This window comes from Homo sapiens, chromosome 10, assembly GCF_000001405.40.
Source record: "Homo sapiens chromosome 10, GRCh38.p14 Primary Assembly".
Classification (NCBI taxonomy): domain Eukaryota; kingdom Metazoa; phylum Chordata; class Mammalia; order Primates; family Hominidae; genus Homo; species Homo sapiens.
In genome coordinates, this window is record NC_000010.11 from 44,938,252 (window position 1) to 44,955,502 (window position 17,251).

Sequence of the window (17,251 nt, forward strand, 5' to 3'; positions counted from 1 at the left end):
GGAAGAATGGTTTGAGCCCAGGAGGTCAAGGCTGCAGTGAGCTGAGATCATTCCACTGCACTCCAGCCTGGGCAACTGAGTGAGACCCTGTCTCAAAATAATCTTTAAAAAATTTTTAAATTAAAAAAAAGTGTACAGCTAAACAGTTTCTAGTAGATTTTTTTTTTTTAATACATGGAGTCTCCTTTTGTCACCAGGCTGGAGTGCAGTGGTGTGATCTTGGCTCACTGCATCCTCTGCCCCCAGGGTTCAAGCGATGCTCCTGCCTCAGCCTCCTGAGTAGCTGGGACTACAGGCGTGCACCACCATGCCCAGCCATTTTTGTATTTTTAGTAGAGACAGGTTTCACTATCTCGGCCAGGATGGCCTTGATCTCTTGACTTCATGATCCACCTGCCTCAGCCTCCCAAAGTGCTGGGATTATAGGCGTGAGCCACCATGCCAGGCCTCTAGTAGATTCTCAAACTATGTTCATCACAATGTAAATTCACAACATTTTCATCATCCCCCAAAGCAAACACAACCTAGCACCCGTTCGCACTCACTCCCTACCTCCCATCACCTGCCCTAAGCAACCACTAATCTACTTTCTGTCGTATAAATTGAATCATATAATACTGGTTTTTTTGTGACTTTGTTCACTTAGCGTGATATTTCTGAGGTTCATCCATGTCGTAGCATGTATCTTTATTTTATTTCTTCTCATGGCTGAATAATACTCCATTGTATGGATATACTACCTTCTGTTTATCCGTTCGTCTGTTAACGGACACTGGGGTTGTTCCCACTTTGTCCCTATAAAGAATAACGCTGCTATGAACACTCGCGTACATGTTTTTGCATGAACATCTGCTTTCATTTCTCTTGGGTATAAATCTAGGAGTGGAATTGCTGAGTCATATGGTAACTCTGTGTTTAACTTCTTGAGGAAATGCCAAACTGTTTTCTAGAGGGGCTGCGCCATTTTACTTTCCCACCAGCAGTGTATGAGGGTTCTGATTTCTCCACCTCCTTGCCAATACTTGTCATTGTCTTTTTTTATTATAGTCATACATGCACTGTGGCTTTGTAGTTCCTTAATGACCAATGGTGTTGAGCTTCTTTCATGTAATTACTGGCCTTTGAATATCTTTTTTAAGAAGTGTCTACTCAAATGCTTTGCCTGTTTTTTAATTGGGTTATTATTTGTCTTTGTATTTTGAGTTGTAAGAGTTTTTAATGTACTCTGAATACTATACCCTTTCAGATATATGATTGGCAAATATTTTCATCCATTCTGTAGGTTGTCTTTTTAATTTCTTTTTTTTTTTTTTTTTTTTTTGAGACTGGGTCTCACTCTGTCACCCAGACTGGAGTGCAGTGGTGCGATCTCAGCTCACTGCAACCTCCACCTCCCAGGCTCAAGTGATTCTCCTGCCTCATCCTCCCGATTAGCTGGGATTATAGGCGCATGCCACTACTGCCTGGTTATTTTTGTGTTTTTAGTAGAGATGGGGTTTCACCATGTTGGCCAGGCTGGTCTTGAACTCCTGACTTCAAATGATCCACCCCCTTCGACCTCCCAAAGTGCTGAGATTACAGGCGTGAGCCACTGCGCCGGCTTTTTTTACTTTCTTGATAGTGTCCTTTGAGGAAGAAACAATTTAATTTCAGTGAAATTCAATTTTTCTTTTTTTCTTTGTTGTTTATTCTTTTGTGGTCAAATCTGAGAAACTATTGCCTAACCAAAGGTTATGAAGATTTATTTCTATATTTTCTTCTAAGACTTTTATAGTTTTAGTTCTTACATTTAGATCTATGATCAATTTTGAGATAATTATTGTATGTGGTATGAAATGGAATCTAACTTAATTATTTTACATGTGAATATACAATTGTTACAGCACTATTTGTTGACTTGAACTGTCTCGACCTCTTTGTTAAACATTAATAGACTGTAAATGAAAGGGTTTATTTCTGAACTTGCAACTCCAGCCTGTTGATCTGTATGTCTATCCTGATGCCATTGCCACACCATGTATTACTGTAGCTTTGTGGTAAGTTTCGAAACCAGGAAGTCTGAGCCCCCTCCAAGTTTGTTCTTATTTTTCAAAACAGTTTTGGCTATTCAGGGTCCCTTGCACTTCTACATGAATTTTAGGATCAGCTTGTCAACTTCTGCAAAATAGAAAGCTGGGATTTTCATAGGGATTTCTCTGACTCTGTAGATAAATTTGGGGAGTATTCCATTCCATCTGAACAATATTAAATCTTCTGATCCATGAATGTGGGGTGTCCTTCCATGTATTTAGATCTTTAATTTTTTCAACGTTTTGTAGTTTCCAATGTGCAAGTCTCACACTTCTTTTCTTAAAATTATTCCTAAGTATTTTCTTCTTTTCCTTGCTTTTGTGATTGGGATTGTTTTCTTAATTTCATTTTCAGATGCTAGAATGTAGAAATATGATTGGTTTTGTACATGGATTTTGCATTTTGCAAACTTGCTAAACAAATTTATTAGTTACAGTCTTTTTGTTTTGTATTTTGTTTTTGAGACAGGGTCTTTATCTGTTGCCCAGGCTGAGTGCAGTGGCACAATCACGGCTCACTACTGCCTGGAGCTCCCAGGCTCAAACAATCCTCCTACCTTAGCCTGAAAAGTAGCTGGGACTATAGGTGCACACCACCACACCTAATTTGTTACTTTTGATAGAGACAGGGACTCACTATGTTACCCAGGCTGATCTCAAACTCCTGGACTCAAGCAGTCCTCCTGCCTCAGCCTCCCAAAGTGCCAGGATTACAGGAGTGAGCCACCGTGCAGGATTATACAATCTTTTTTTAATGGATACATTGTTATTATCTACATACAATATCATGTCATCTGCAAATATAGAAAGTTTTACTTCTTCCAATTTGGAAGTCTTTTCTTTTTCTTGCCTAATTTCTCTAGCTAGAACATCTAGTACAATGTTGAATAGAAGCAACAAGAGCCAACATTCTTGTCTTGCTCCTGATGGTTGGGGAAAGTATTTCGTCTTTCACCACTGAGTACCATGTTCCTGGTGGATTTTTCACAGATGCCCTGTGTGAGATTGAGGACATTTCCTTCTACTTCCAGTTTGTTGAGTGTTTTTATCATGAAATGGTACTAGATTTTTCGCATGGTCTTTCTGCATCTATTGAATTGATTATGTGGTTTTTGTCCTTTATTGATAAGGTTCATTACATTAATTAACTTTCAGATATTTAATCAACCTTGTATTCATGTAATGCATCCCACTTGCTCATGGTATGTAATCCTTTTACATGGTGCTGGGTTATATTTTATATGTTGATATATTTTGTTGAGGATTTTTGTGTTTCTCTATATAAGGAATACTGGTCTGTAGTTTCTATTCTTGTGATGTCTTTGTCTTATTTTGGAATCAGGGCAATACTGCTCTCATAAAATCAAGAAGTGTCCCCTTCTATTTTTTGAGAGTTTGTGAGAGACTGATATCGATTTTTTGTTGTATTTTGGTAGAATTCACCGGTGAGGCCATTTGGGCCTTGGCCTAATTCAAACTCTTCACTTGATATAGAGCTTCAGATTTTTTGAAAATTTCACCTTTGAATCGGTTTCTATAGTTTGTGTCTTCCTAGAGTTTTGTCCATTTTATCTAAGTTATCTAATTTGTTGGCATAGTATTCCTTTGTAATCTCTCTTATTTCCATAAAATCGATAATTATGCCCCCTCTTTTTATTCCCCATTTTAGTAATTTAAGCCTTCTCTTTTTTCTTGGTCAATCTAGCTAAAATTTTGTCCATTTTCTCAATATTTTCAAAGAAACCACTTGCTTTTATTGATTTTCTGTTTTGTTGTTACAGTCTGTATTTCATTATTTCTTTTCTAATATTTATTTTTTCCTTTCTTCTGCTTACTTTGCACTTAGTTTACTCTTATTTTTCTAGTTTCTTGAGGTGGAAAGTAGGGTTATTGGTATGAAATATGTTTGGGTTTTGTTTGGTTTTGTTTTTTGTTTTGGTTTTTTTTTGAGATGGAGTTTCACTCTTGTTGCCCAGACTAGAGTGCAATGGCGCGACCTCAGTTCATTGCAATCTCTGCCTCCCAGGTTCAAGCAATTCTCCTGCCTCAGCCTCCTGAGTAGCTGGGATTACAGGTGTGTGCCACCACACCCAGCTAATTTTTATTATTAGTAGAGACAGGGTTTCACCATGTTGGCCAGGCTGGTCTCAAACTCCTGACTGTGGTGATCCACCTGCTTTGGCCTCCCAAAGTGCTGGAATTACAGGCGTGAGCCACCGTGTCTGGCCATGTATTTGTTAATATAGACATTTACAGCTATAAATTTCAGAGCACTGCTGTGACTGCATTTCATATGTTTTGGTATATGCTGTGTTTTTGTTTTCATTCATCTCAAAGTATTTTCTAGTTTACCTTGTGACTTCTTCTTTTGATCTGTTGGTTATTTATGAGTGTGTTATTTAATTTATACCTATTCTAACTCAATTCCATTGTGGTTGGCAAACCCATTTGGTATGATTTCAATTCCTTTAAATGCATTGGATTTGTATTATGGCCTACCATACTGTCTAACTTGAAGGGTATTCTACATGATCTTAAGTAGAATGTGTGTTCTCCTGTTGTTGGATGGTGTGCTTTGTGGAGGTCTGTTAAGTCTAAGTGGTTTGTATTGTTGTTCAAGTCTTCTCTATCCTTGTTGATCATCTGATTCATTCCACTCATTACTCAAAGTGGGGCATTGAAGTCTTTATTATTACTAATGTGTCTGTTTGTCCCTTCAGTTCTGTTAGGTTTTGCTTAATGTGTTCAAGGCTCTAATGTTAGATGCATGTAAGCCAGTAATTTTATATCTTCTTACGCACTGACTTTTTATTATTATGGAATGTCTCTCTTTATCTTTAGTAACTTTTTTGTTTTAAAGTCAATTTTGTCTGATATTACTGTAGCTACTCCAGATCTCTTATGATTGCTATTTGCCCAGGGAATAGTTTTCATCTTTTACTTTCAACCTGTTTGTGTCTTTGAAACTAAAGTGTGTATCAGGTTTTCATCTTTTACTTTCAACCTGTTTGTGTCTTTGAAACTAAAGTGTGTATCCTGTAGACAACATAGAGTTAAATCTTGTTTTGTTATCCAATAGAGTAACCACCACCTTTTGATCTGATCATTGAATTCATTTACATTTTATGTTATTGATATGATAGGATTTATATATCTCATTTTGCTTTTTTATATTGATACACAATATTTTACATATTTATGGGATACATGAGAGTATTTGTTACATGCATAGAACGTATAATCATCAAGTCAGTGTACTTGGGTTATCCATCGCCTTAGGTATTTATCATTTCTATATGTTGGGAACATTTCAATTCCTCTTTGCTAGCAACATTGAAATATACATCGCTGCTAATTACAGTCACCCTACTCTGCTGTCAAACATTAGAACGTATATATATATTTATATATATATATATTCTGTCTAGCTATATATGTGACCTATTCACCAACTTCTCTTGATTTTCTCCTCTACTTTACTTCTACTTTTCTATATATCTTGTATATTTTTTGTTTCTGTGTTCCCCTTTTACTGCTATCTTTTGTATAAATAAATATTTTCTAGTGCAAAAATTTAGTTCCTTTTATAATTTTTAAAATTATATTTTTAGTTATTTTCTTGGAGATTGCTCTAGTGATTATAACACGTCTTAACATATCAAAATCTACTTTAGATTTATATTAACTTAATTCCATTGAAATATAAAAACCTTACTCCTGTATAGCTCCATTCTGTCCCCAATTTTCTATAGTACTACTAATATATATTAGATCCATAAATATTACAAACCCAGTAACACATTGTTGTCATTATTACTTTTTACAATCAAGTCTTATAAAGAAGCTGAAAGAAGAAAGGAGTATATATTTTTCACTTCTTATATTAACCTTTTTATTTGCCATTTCTAGTTCTCTTCATATCCTTCTTTGAGTTCAAGTTACCATCTGGTTTCATTTCATTTCTGCAATGTAGTTTTGCTTCCACCTGTCTCCTTTGTGCTGCTATTGTCATTGCCTGAAGAGCTTTCTTTAGTATTTCTTATTAGGTGGATATGTCTGATAGCAACAAACTCTTTCAGGTTTTGTTTGCCTGGGAATATCTTTATTTCACCTTTGTTTCTGAAAGAGTTTTGCTAGATATACTATTCTTGGTCAACAGTTTCTGTTTTTGTTTTTACTTTCAGCACTCTGATTGTCTTCACACTGCCTTCTGGTCTCCATTGTTTTTGATGAAAAGTCAGCTGTTATTCTCACTGGGGTCCCCTTATGTGTGCTGAGTCATTTTTCTCTTACTGCTTTCAAGATTTTCTCTTTGTCTTTGTCTTTCAACATTTTTACGAAAATGTGTCTGAATGTAGGTCTCTGCATTTATTCTTGAAATTAATTGAGTTTCTTTGATGTTCATATTAATGTTTTTCATCTGACTTGGGAATTTTTCAACCATTATTTCTTAGAATATTTATTCTTCTCCTTTTTTCTCTCCTCTCCTTCTAATACTTCCATTATGGATATGTTGGTGTGCTTAATAGTGTCCCACATTAGTTTGATGCTGTGTTCCTTTTTCTTCATTCTTTTTACTGTCATTGAGGTTGCATAATCTCTGTCAACTTATCTTCAAGTTTGCTAATTCTTTCATCTGCTATCTCAAATCTACTGTTGAGAAGTTTTAATTTCATTATTGTAATTTTCAAATCTAGAATTTCCATTTGGTCTGTTTTAAAAATAATTTATATCTCTTTTATTTCATAAGATATAATCATACTTTTATTTCATTCTTTAAATGTAGTTTCCTTTAGTTCTTTGAACATATTTATAACAGCTGCTTTGATGTCTTTATCAGCTAAGTTCAACATCTGGGCCCCCTCAAAAGTTGTGTCTATTGCTTGCAATTTTCCCTGTGGATCACACTCTCTCATTTAAACATTTTAGAACATAATTGGTATCAGTTCTGGATACTGATTCTCCCTCCTTTTTCACCTGGTCTCTTGTTATTGTTTGTTTATTCATTTGTTTGTTTATTGACTGGTATGGGCTAATTCTATGAAGTCAGTCACTTTTTCCCCAATGTTTGGCTTCTGATGTCCCTGCTCCCTGTCCTTATCTTTTAGACTGGTTACCTCAGAATTTCTTCTGGGTCAGCATAAGCCATTTACTGGTCAAAAGTTGTGGTTAAGACCCCTTAACCAGTAAGACACTTACCTCTTAAGTAAGTATCTAACTAGGGGCATAAGGCTTGGAGGCCTCTACCAAAATTCAAAGAGGTTACATTTATTCCTACATTCATCTAGGGACCAGTAGCTTGGATGTTTCTTCTCTGATCACTTCTAAGAGGGCACAATCTTGAGCCTACAAAACTGTGATCTAGACTGCCTGAGATGTATGTGATTTTATTTTTTTGGCCTAGCTTTCTAGGAGTTGCCCCAGTCTAGGGTTTGGTCAGAGCATGTGCTTAAGCCCCTCGTGCCAGTGAGGCATCTATACTTTTTTTGTGTGTGGATTTGTGTGTAAATTGGGGAGTGTTTTCAAGTTGCCCCACATTCTGCTCTGATTGCTCCTGAGTGGGTACAGCCTAGTATTTGCCCAGGCTTCCCAATTCCCAGAATTGACTGTGATGCCAAGAGGGCTCTTGGGATCTTGGCTGTCTCTTTTCCCAGTTATTTGTTAAATTTCTGGGTGTCCTGCCCTTTTGTTTTTTGCTACCAGTTTCACGGAGTTACGAGCACTTTTAATTGCTCTCCCCAAGCTATTCATTGTTTTCAATAACAGTATGTTGCACAGAATTATCCACATCCTGTCCTGAACAAAATCCTTCCTCTCAGGCAGAGCTATAAGCTCTTCATTCTTACTGTCTGCTTTCTCCCCGGGTAGAATGTCTGCAGCACTGCACAGGAGCTGGGAGTGGGAACTACCTGCTTCCCTGAAGAGGCACCTCTGCTCTACAAGTAGGTACTAGGGGAACCTCTGCTCTACAAGTAGGTTCTAGGGGAAGTGGCCCCTGGTATTCTCAGCTTGCCCCTTTCAGTGTGAAACCTCTGCCCTAGGAGTGAGTTAGGGTGAGTAATCAAGGCTCCAGTATTCTCAGTCTGTTGCTCCTGTAATAGAGCTTCTGCTAAATGACTCGGTGCTCAGAAGAGAAAGTAAACCTAAGTTATCTTGGCCGTGCCTCCCTAGAATAGAGCTTCTGCAACACAGGGCCAAGTGGGATGAGACACACCAGCATCTTGCCCCTCCTGGAGTGAAATTATAGCCTAGACTGAGGGCTACAGGGAGAGGAAGCCCCTGTGTTCTTGACCACACCTGCCCAGAGTAAAGACCCTAGAGCAGAGTTTCCATAAGGCAGAGCTGAGAGAGGGTAGGGGAGTGGGTCATGGTTCAAATGCCATGGACCCTCCCTCACTGTTTTTACCAAAATTTAGTAGATTTTATTAAATGAATGTTTCTCCATTTGCTGTGTGCCCTTAGGACAATTTCCAGAGATTTAAATGAATTAATATTTGTCATTTTCTCCAGTAAAATAGTTGTTTTGCTATAAAACGGGGCATCTGAGCTACTGAGTCCTAAAGTACTGCTCCTAATTTTTACTTTTTTACCATGACCATGAGGAAATAGAGTGCACTGATGAGAACTTTGACCATCAAGTACACAAGACCTAGGCTTGAGCCCTATATCTGCCCTTCACCAGCTGTGTGACCAGCTAGTGGAACTCCTCTGAGCCTGTTTCTCCATTTGTAAAGAAGCAATAATGGATTCTGGATATTAGCCCTTTGTCAGATGAATAGATTGCAAAAATTTTCTCCCATTCTGTAGAATTGAACAATGAGAACACTTGGACACAGGAAGGGGAACATCACATACCAGGGCCTATTGTGGGGTGGGGGGAGGGGGGAGGGAAAGCATTAGGAGATATACCTAATGTAAATGATGAGGTAATGGGTGCAGCGTACCAACATGGCACATGTATACATATGTAACAAACCTGCACGTTGTGCACATGTACCCTAGAACTTAAAGTATAATAATACAAGAAGAAAAAAAAAACAGAAAAAAAGCAATAATAATGTACTGACATCCACAAATGGCTAAGAATTAAATATTATGATATAAGTGAAGTATTGGCAGGATCTTCCTGGCCCCGGAATGCTTCTTTCCTGGGACATTGGTGCCTACAGCTGCTCTGGGGCCATTTGCTCCCTTCTTGCAGGAATGCAGCTCTCTCTGCAGGCTGGAAGTCACGCTCATCAAGCCCTGTCTGCTGCTGTCAGCTCAGCCTAGAGCCCATACCTTGCTGATGGCATGTTTGCCTGAGAAACAAACTTCATTCCCTTTTCCTGGAATTCTACCCCATCTCACTCCTCACCAATCTCTCAAAGAGAACTTATCCTTTGGTATGTCCAAATGGGAAAATCTCTTGCTCCATTCCCTGTGTGCCCAAGATTTCAAGCTTTCTCTGCAAGCTGGTCAGCCATCCAGCTGTCATCTGTCCCTCAAAGCCCCGGGCTCAGCTGCTAGCCTGCTGATGAACAGTCAGCTGTTTGACTACCTGGAAAGGGGAGCAAAAGGGTAGTGTTCTTGGGAGATAAAGAGGAACTGTCTCTGTTGGCCAAAATGGGGATTTCCCATGGGACTTGCTTGACTGGCTGAATGGCTTGTTACGGTCCACAGAAGAAGGAAGAACCGAGTCATGATCTTTGCACAGAAGAGAAGAGGTATTTCGAGAAGCCAAGTTGCAGTTAAGTGGAATGTTATGCCCTGAGTTTCCCATTATGACAAGGGTGAGACAGCTGCATAGAAAGAATAGCAGCATCCAGGAAGTCAGGAGTCCAGGAGTATGGTCCCACTTGACTCTGCTGGGATTTGGAGTCTTGGGTCATTCCCCACATGAAACCCAAGGGATAAGGCCATCCCAAAAGGTCCTGCCAGCTCCAAGCCTCAGGGATGCCCAGCTGTGCACATTACCAGGGGGCATTTGCCCAAACTTAAGAGCAAGCCCAAGGAAAATCCAGCACTGAGTCTAAACATATGCTGTGCAATTCTTTTTACAGTATGAGCTTCTGGAAAGCTTGCATAGTCTCAGGACAGGGATCTGGAGGAAATGGGGAGCATCAGAACCACAGAAGGTTGTACTGGGAATAACTGGGGCAGGAGCAAAAGCCCATCCAAGCAGATGTTTACCACCTCATTGATATGGAAGACTCTGTGAGTTTCAAATCAAATTTCCCTTTAAAGAGCAGATAAAGAGTAAAGCAAATGGGCCATGCCTTTGATTATTCATTTGTCCCTAAATAGGTGCTTCTACCTGAGGCTGCACACGCTCCGCCAGGGGTGAGGATGCCACCAGCCCACTATAGCTTCAGTTTCCAGCTTCCAGGAAACTGGATGAGGTATTTGCAGGCCCCAAGTCTTGAGTTCCTCTTTCCACATTGAAACATGTTCCTTTCTTTTAAACCAACAGCACCAGCATAAACTTAGAGAATAGGTTGCTAAGGGCAAAAGTCGGTTTAACTCAGCAAACATTTACTAAGCACCTACTGTGTGGACCAGGCATCACACAAGGTGCTGGGCTGAAGGAGTGAGTCTGGCATGCTGTGTGCTCTCTAGACAAGCCAAATGTGTGACTGACATGAGGCAGACATGGCACTACAGTAAAATCACAAACAGTATGCTATGAGAGAGGAAGTCAGGCAGAGGGAAGTCTGGGAAGGTAGATTTGAGTTGAGCTTCGGAAGCAGAGCTGGAATCTTATCATGCACATCATTGTCTATCTTGGGACAAAGGAAGCATGGCCAAGTCCATCAGAGTCTGAAGCAGGTGGATTTATTTTCCATATGTAACAAGGCGTTTGTGCAGTAAAAAGAATATAAGGCAAGCAGGCGTATCAACAACAATGATGATAATCACTGAGAGCACTGAGACCTCAGTGGATTCAGTGCTTTGCCTGCTCCATCTCCTCTAATCCCCAGAGCCTGTGAGGCCAGGTCCCTTACAGCCCCATTCTATAGATGGGAAACCACAGTGCGTGGTAATTTGCACACAGCTAAAAACAGGTAGAGCCTGTATTCATTCCAGGCTCAGAGCAGAGATTCTTAATGCCATCAGGAAACTAAAGTCTGAGGCTGGCCACAGACCTCACCTGCCTGATGGCCTGGGCCTCTCTCCTCTCATCATCTGAACAAGGGGGGTTTTGACCAGGTAACCCCTAAGGTTCTGTTTCACTCAGTTTGGGCTGCCATAACAAATACCATACACTGGGTGGCTCAAACAACAAACATTTATTCCTCGAAGTTCTGGAGGGGAGGCTAGAAGTCCAAGATCAGGGTGCCAGCATGGTCAGGTTCTAGGGAGGGCTGGCTTCCTGGGTCACAGAGAGCTGCCTGTTTGCTATAGTCTCACGTGGAGGAAAGAAGTCATCTCTCTTATGTCTCTGCTTACAGAAGCACTAATCCTATGCAAGAGGGTTCCATGCAAATGATCCAATCACCCTGCAAAGGCCCTACCTCCTAACGCCATCACACTGGGGATTAGAGCTTCTACATATAAATTTAGGGGAATACAATTCAGTCCATAGCAGGTTCCCTCCAGCTAAGTCACCTGGGATGCTAAGTGTTCGGGGTGGGGTGTGGCAGTGCAGATGAAGAGGAGGAAAAAGTGGCTCATCAATGTGGGGGATAAAGGAAGCATGAGAAAGGGGAGCACTAGCTCAGGTGGAGAAGGCAAATGGAGCCACTCCCCACTTTGGTTGTGACTGCTGCTGACTGCTGGAGGCCTAGTGCCCTTTGAGTTTTCTCTGAGTGACTGATAATTCCTGAGCGGAGCTGGGCCCCAGCAGAGCCTGGGAGCTGTGCCAAGCTCTCCCTCCAGGCCCCAGCCGTGCCACCTCCAAGACCAGAACAAGAACCCTAGCCTCAGCAGGGTCTCCCCAACACCATGCAGATAAAAAGTGGCCAAGAAAATGTCACCTTAAAACTCAGGAACACAGCATGGACATCCAGGCTTCTCCTCAGTTTCCTTCTAAGGGCCCAGGGCTCCTGTTATTCCTGCTTGCTGTGCTCTAATGCCTGGGACTTACAGAGAAGGCTGGCAAACAGAGTCCAGCCAGCACCCAGCCTCCAAAAGCCTCTTGTGCCCTGAGCCCAGAGCTCACTGCCACCTCCCCGAGCCTCCAGCAGCCCATGGGGGCTTTTCTGGTCTCAGGCCCAGCTGCTGCTCTCCCCTTCACCAGAGCATTTTCAGTTCCCACTTCTCTGGCCTGAGTGGCCCCCTGTGCTCCTGGCCACACTCCTTCTCTCTCTCCCCATCTCTAGGTCCTCTCCCAGCTGCCCCAAGCCTCACTCCTCATGCATGGTGCTCTCCCGAGGAGCTGCTCTCCCAGACTTCCATCTCTCCAGCCTGTTCCCTCTCTCCCTCTTGAGACCCAGCTCACACATTGCAGGCCGTGATCTCGCCCCTGGAATAGACCCCCTCAGCTGCTGGGACTCTGCAGGGTTGTGGCAGGCATTGCACGGCTTCTCCCAGGGGATACTATTGACCCCGTTTTCTGATGGAGCTTGAATTGTCCTGGCTCATGTACCTTCCTCCCCTTGGCCAGCCATGTCCTGCATTGGGTTAGTCACAGTGGTCCACCCTTCCCAAGGTGCCTGCACCCTAGTCGTGGCCAATGGGAAGAAAGGGAAGGTGACTGGGAAGCTTCTGGGAAAGGTTTCCTTCCCTCAGTACTAAAAGGATCCCCAGGTGAGGCGCCATGGCTCACACCTGTAAATCCAGCACTTTGGGAGGCCAAGACGGGAGGATTGCCTGAGCCCAGGAGTTTGAGACCAGCCTGGACAACAAAGTGAGACCCCGTTTCTACAAAAAATTAGTCAGGTGTGGTGGCATGTACCTGTGATCCTAACTACTTAGGAGGCTGAGGTGGGAGGATCACCTGATCCTGGGAGGTCAAGGCTGCAGTGAGTTGTGATCGTGCCACTCACTCCAGCCTGGGAAACAGAGTGAGACCCTGTCTCAAAAAATAAAAAAATAAACGGAGCCTCATTGGAACACTCTTCCTCTTCTTCCCCTGAATGTCGGCATGTCTGAGGGAAAGCACAGAAATCATTTGCAAATATCAAGGAGAATTAAACCAATATGCTGAAGATGGCAATGAGCAAAGAACGAACGAACTTGGGTCCTTCAAGATTACTTTGAGACACTGAATAAACCAAGTCTGGAGCTACCCATTGCTGGGGATTTTTATTACGTGAGGTCATAAAATCCCCATTGTTTGGGTTTTTTACTCCTCACAACTAAAAGCATCCCAGCCCAGAGTGTCACTTATCCACGCCCTTCACCATGTTTGGCGGGGAGAAAATATCCCTGCCAAAGGGAGATACCATATAAACTCTTCTTCACCTATGGCCCAAATCAGGCCCTCTGCTTATTTTTGTAAATAGTGTTTTATTGGAACACAGCCACACTCATTCACTTACATATTGCCTATGGTTGCTTTTGCTTGAGCAGTTGCAAGAGAGATAGTGCAGCCTGCAAATAGGAAAATATTCATTATCTGGCCCTTTACAGAAAATGTTTGCCAATCCCTAAGGTCGACTCATTAGACCAATGGAGCAGCAAAAATTTCTCAAAAATTGCCACAGGTTGCACAGGTAGATGAAATCCCAGGAAAAAGAGGCACCGTTACATGCTAAGGAACCTTGGAATGCCCTGGCATCAGGCCACACTCTGCTACAGAGTCTGTCCTGATAAAACATGAGTACGAGCTGTGGGTCAAACTCTCCATGCTTACTGGTTGTGATGGTTAATTCTAGGTGTCCACTTGGTTAGCCTATTGTGTGTCTGATCGAACATCAGTCTCGATGTTGCTGTGAAGGTATTTTTTCAGATGACACATACATATAAATCAGCAGACTTTGAGTAATGAAGACTTCCCTTTGTAATGTGGGTGGGCTTCATCCAATCAACTAAAGGCTTTAAGAGCAAAGATTGAAGTGCCCTGAAAAAGAAGCGATTGTGCCTCAAGACTGCAACATGGAAACCCTGATTCAGTTTCCACCTTGCTGGCCTGCAGATTTCAGACTCAACACTGTAACATCAACTTACCTGAATTTCTAGCCTGCTGGGGTCAGCCCGGCAGATTTTGAACTTGGCAGCCCACAATTACATGAGCCAAATATTCCTTATAATCTATCTATCTAGCTGTATAGTGAACTACCTAGCTAGCTACACCCATGTCTTTCTTGACCTCAATGGGAGATATATGTAAATATATATACTGTTTCTCTGGAATAACCCTGATTAATACACTAATCATTCTAATTCTGTCTCAGTTGTAAGGTCGACAGCTTATTCATTATTTTGAGAGCATTCATTTTCAAGGTAAAAAGACAGAGATGATCCCCAAATGAGACAAAACTTAAGACAATTTGCAATTACATGGCTCTATCCTTTCTTAAACACTAGTCCTTAGTTCACAGTTAGGAGGACTGGGAAGGCAGCTTGGGCATGGGCAGCCCCCATCAAACGGGAGGCTGAACAGAGGTGGCTTTGATGGCAGGCTGGGAGGTGAGGTCAACTCAACTGAAGCATCTTTAAACACAGGGTTAACAGGTCAAGTCTAGCTAGCTGTGGGGCAGTTTGGCCCTTCCCCCTTGGGGAATGTTTTACATTCCTTGGAAGCTGCATACTTAAAAGAGATAGACAGGACAGAGCTTCCCTCCAGGACATGGGAGTAGCCACATTGTCTGGCTGGTGGGTTTTCCCAGAATACCCTGAGGATGGTGTGTTTTAAAATGTGCAGTCCAGGAGCTGGACAGATCGCCCTTGTTTGTGCATATGTGCTGTGCCCTCTCAAGGTTCCTTTCCTTTTCCATCTGGGAGGTCTCCACTTCCTTTGGCTGTTTCACATCCTGGCTTGAGGGAAGGTCCTGATCACTTACTAGTTCACAGCTTTGCATCTCAGTTATATCTCACCATTCATAAGAATTCTGGAGCCCAAGCTGCAACACCAGGCTCTTTGTGGAGGAAAATCCATTTTTAAGACATTCTCCTTTGAGAAGCGCCGTCCTTCTGTAAACCCTCCTACACTGAACTGTTTTGTGCCTACTTTCCTTTTACAGTGCTGCTGTTTGTTAAATGATCAAAATATTGACCAACATAAAGCTGCTTTCTGATGTTAAAATTAGAGTTATATTGAAAATGCAGTTTGTTCAGGAGTCTTGCATCACCGTAATTATTTTTGTCTTATTTTTAAGATGTTATCAACTCACAGCAGTTACAACGCCCATTAATAATAATCAGCTTACCAGGAGCCCCACACTCTCTGTGCCCCACAGGAGAACAGCCCAAGGCAAAGGTAGAAGGGTGGTGAAGTGTGGATGGGTGGGGAGGTGACACAGTCCTGGGGAGGCAGGGGCAGCCTAGGAAAGTGGAGAGATGTCCTTTTCCAGCCTTTGTTCTGTTGGATAAATCTATATCTATATCTAGATAGATAGATGGATGGATAGATAGATAGATAGATAGATAGATAGATAGATAAATAATTTCCAGTAGCAGGAAGATAGGGAGGTGAGGACAAAGGGAAAAAGCTATCAACAAACCAGGCCTAGTTATGTTCTCTGCATGTGGGCTTTCAGACCATCCTTGTCCTCACAGATGTGTTTGGAGTAGACATGTGTTAGATAGCTTACCCTTTTCTCAGAGACCAAGTAGAGACCAAGTGCTTGAGCCAAGTACTTATTTTTTCCTCAAAAGCAAGTTTCAGCAGCAATTTTTAACTATACCATCTTTTAAAGCAAGCTCCCCCCATCCTAGGAAACTCTGTGCTCAGGCACTTATTAGTTCTGCAGGGTGGCATGCAAAGGCTTTTCTAAAGCATAATCATAATGGAAAAATAATACATAAAATCTGTGCACTTGTGTGTGTGTGTTTAACAAGAAGGCACTTATGCAGCATACATCATTAAACTTTATGTGCATTTGGAGAATAAATTATCATTTCTAGCCTGCCTCTGGTATGGGTTGAAGAGTAAAATACATTAACCTAAAGTTATTATTTATATGCTAACAAATGGAGTTAATGAAAACTATTTCACATAGAAAGGAAAGATAAGTGGTATGCAGATTTTTTGAGAATTCACCTGAAAATTGATGGTAAATACAAAGTCTTCTGTACGTTAAGATCATGCAATGGGATAACCTCATTGCTCGAGGATTTCACCAAAGCAAACAGAGCAAGAAACGTTCTGTACGTGGTCTCTTCCTGCCAAGCACGCACAATCATCAACTGTTTTCTAAAGAATACACATTTGGAATCACACAGACTTTTTGAAAAATTGCTTGAAAAGGTCATTTGTGGCAGGGCATCAGGGCTCACGCCTGAATTCCCAGCACTTTGGGAGGCCGAGGCAGGAGGATCATTTGAGTCCAGGAGTTAGAGACCAGCTGGGCAACATAGAGAGACCCTGTCTCTACAAAAAATTTAGAAATTAGCTAGGTGTGGTGACCCATGGCTATAGTTCCAGCTACTCAAGAGGCTGAGGTGGGAGGATCGCTGGAGCATAGGAGGTCGAGGTTGCAATGAGCTGTGATTGTCACTGCACTCCAGCCTAGGGGACAGAGCACGCAAGACTTGCCAAAAAAGAAGAAGAGAGAGAGAGACAGAGAGAAAGAAAGAAAGAAAGAGAGACAGAGAGAGAGAGAAAGAAAGAAAGAAAGAGAGAGAGAGAGAGAAAGGAAGGAAGGAAGGAAGGAAGGGGATGGAAGGAAGGCAAGCAAGCAGGGAGGGAGGGAGGGAAAGAGGAAGGAAGGAAGGAGAGAGAGAGAGAAAGAAAGGAAGGAAGGAAAGAAGGGGGAGGAAGGGAGAGAGAGAGGAGAAAGAAAGAAAAAGAAAGAAAGAGAAAAAGAAAGAAAAAGAAAGAAAGAAAGAAAGAAAGAGAAAGAAAAAGAAGAAAGAGAAATAAAAGTCATTTGTTTTTAATTTAATGTTGGATACAATGAAGGGGGAAAAAATCACATGAAGCCATCCATAAAAGGCCTTAAGGAATCAATCAGATCTATCAGAAATTAATTCAAAATCCCACTTACTGTCTTAAGAGAATGGCTTGAAAATGGTTCTCATTATTAATATCATTTACATCAAGATATATAAACCTATTTTTCAGGACTCAAAAATCTAAATGACATCTCAACAACATG

The 17,251-nt window shown here is 41.6% G+C and overlaps 1 long non-coding RNA gene across 1 annotated transcript in view, besides 1 other annotated feature; it reads right to left on the bottom strand.

Moving 5' to 3' along the window:
* Positions 1 to 17,251, bottom strand: part of TMEM72-AS1 (TMEM72 antisense RNA 1) — a 148,666-nt gene that overhangs the window by 127,228 nt on the left and 4,187 nt on the right. The gene's annotated exons all lie outside the window — the stretch shown is intronic.
* Positions 9,581 to 9,820: an enhancer, noted in NCBI's record as "active region_3314". NCBI's record gives its function as "activates an Ori minimal core promoter by ATAC-STARR-seq in GM12878 lymphoblastoid cells {active_cell/tissue: GM12878}" and the evidence as "EXISTENCE:reporter gene assay evidence [ECO:0000049][PMID:35858748]".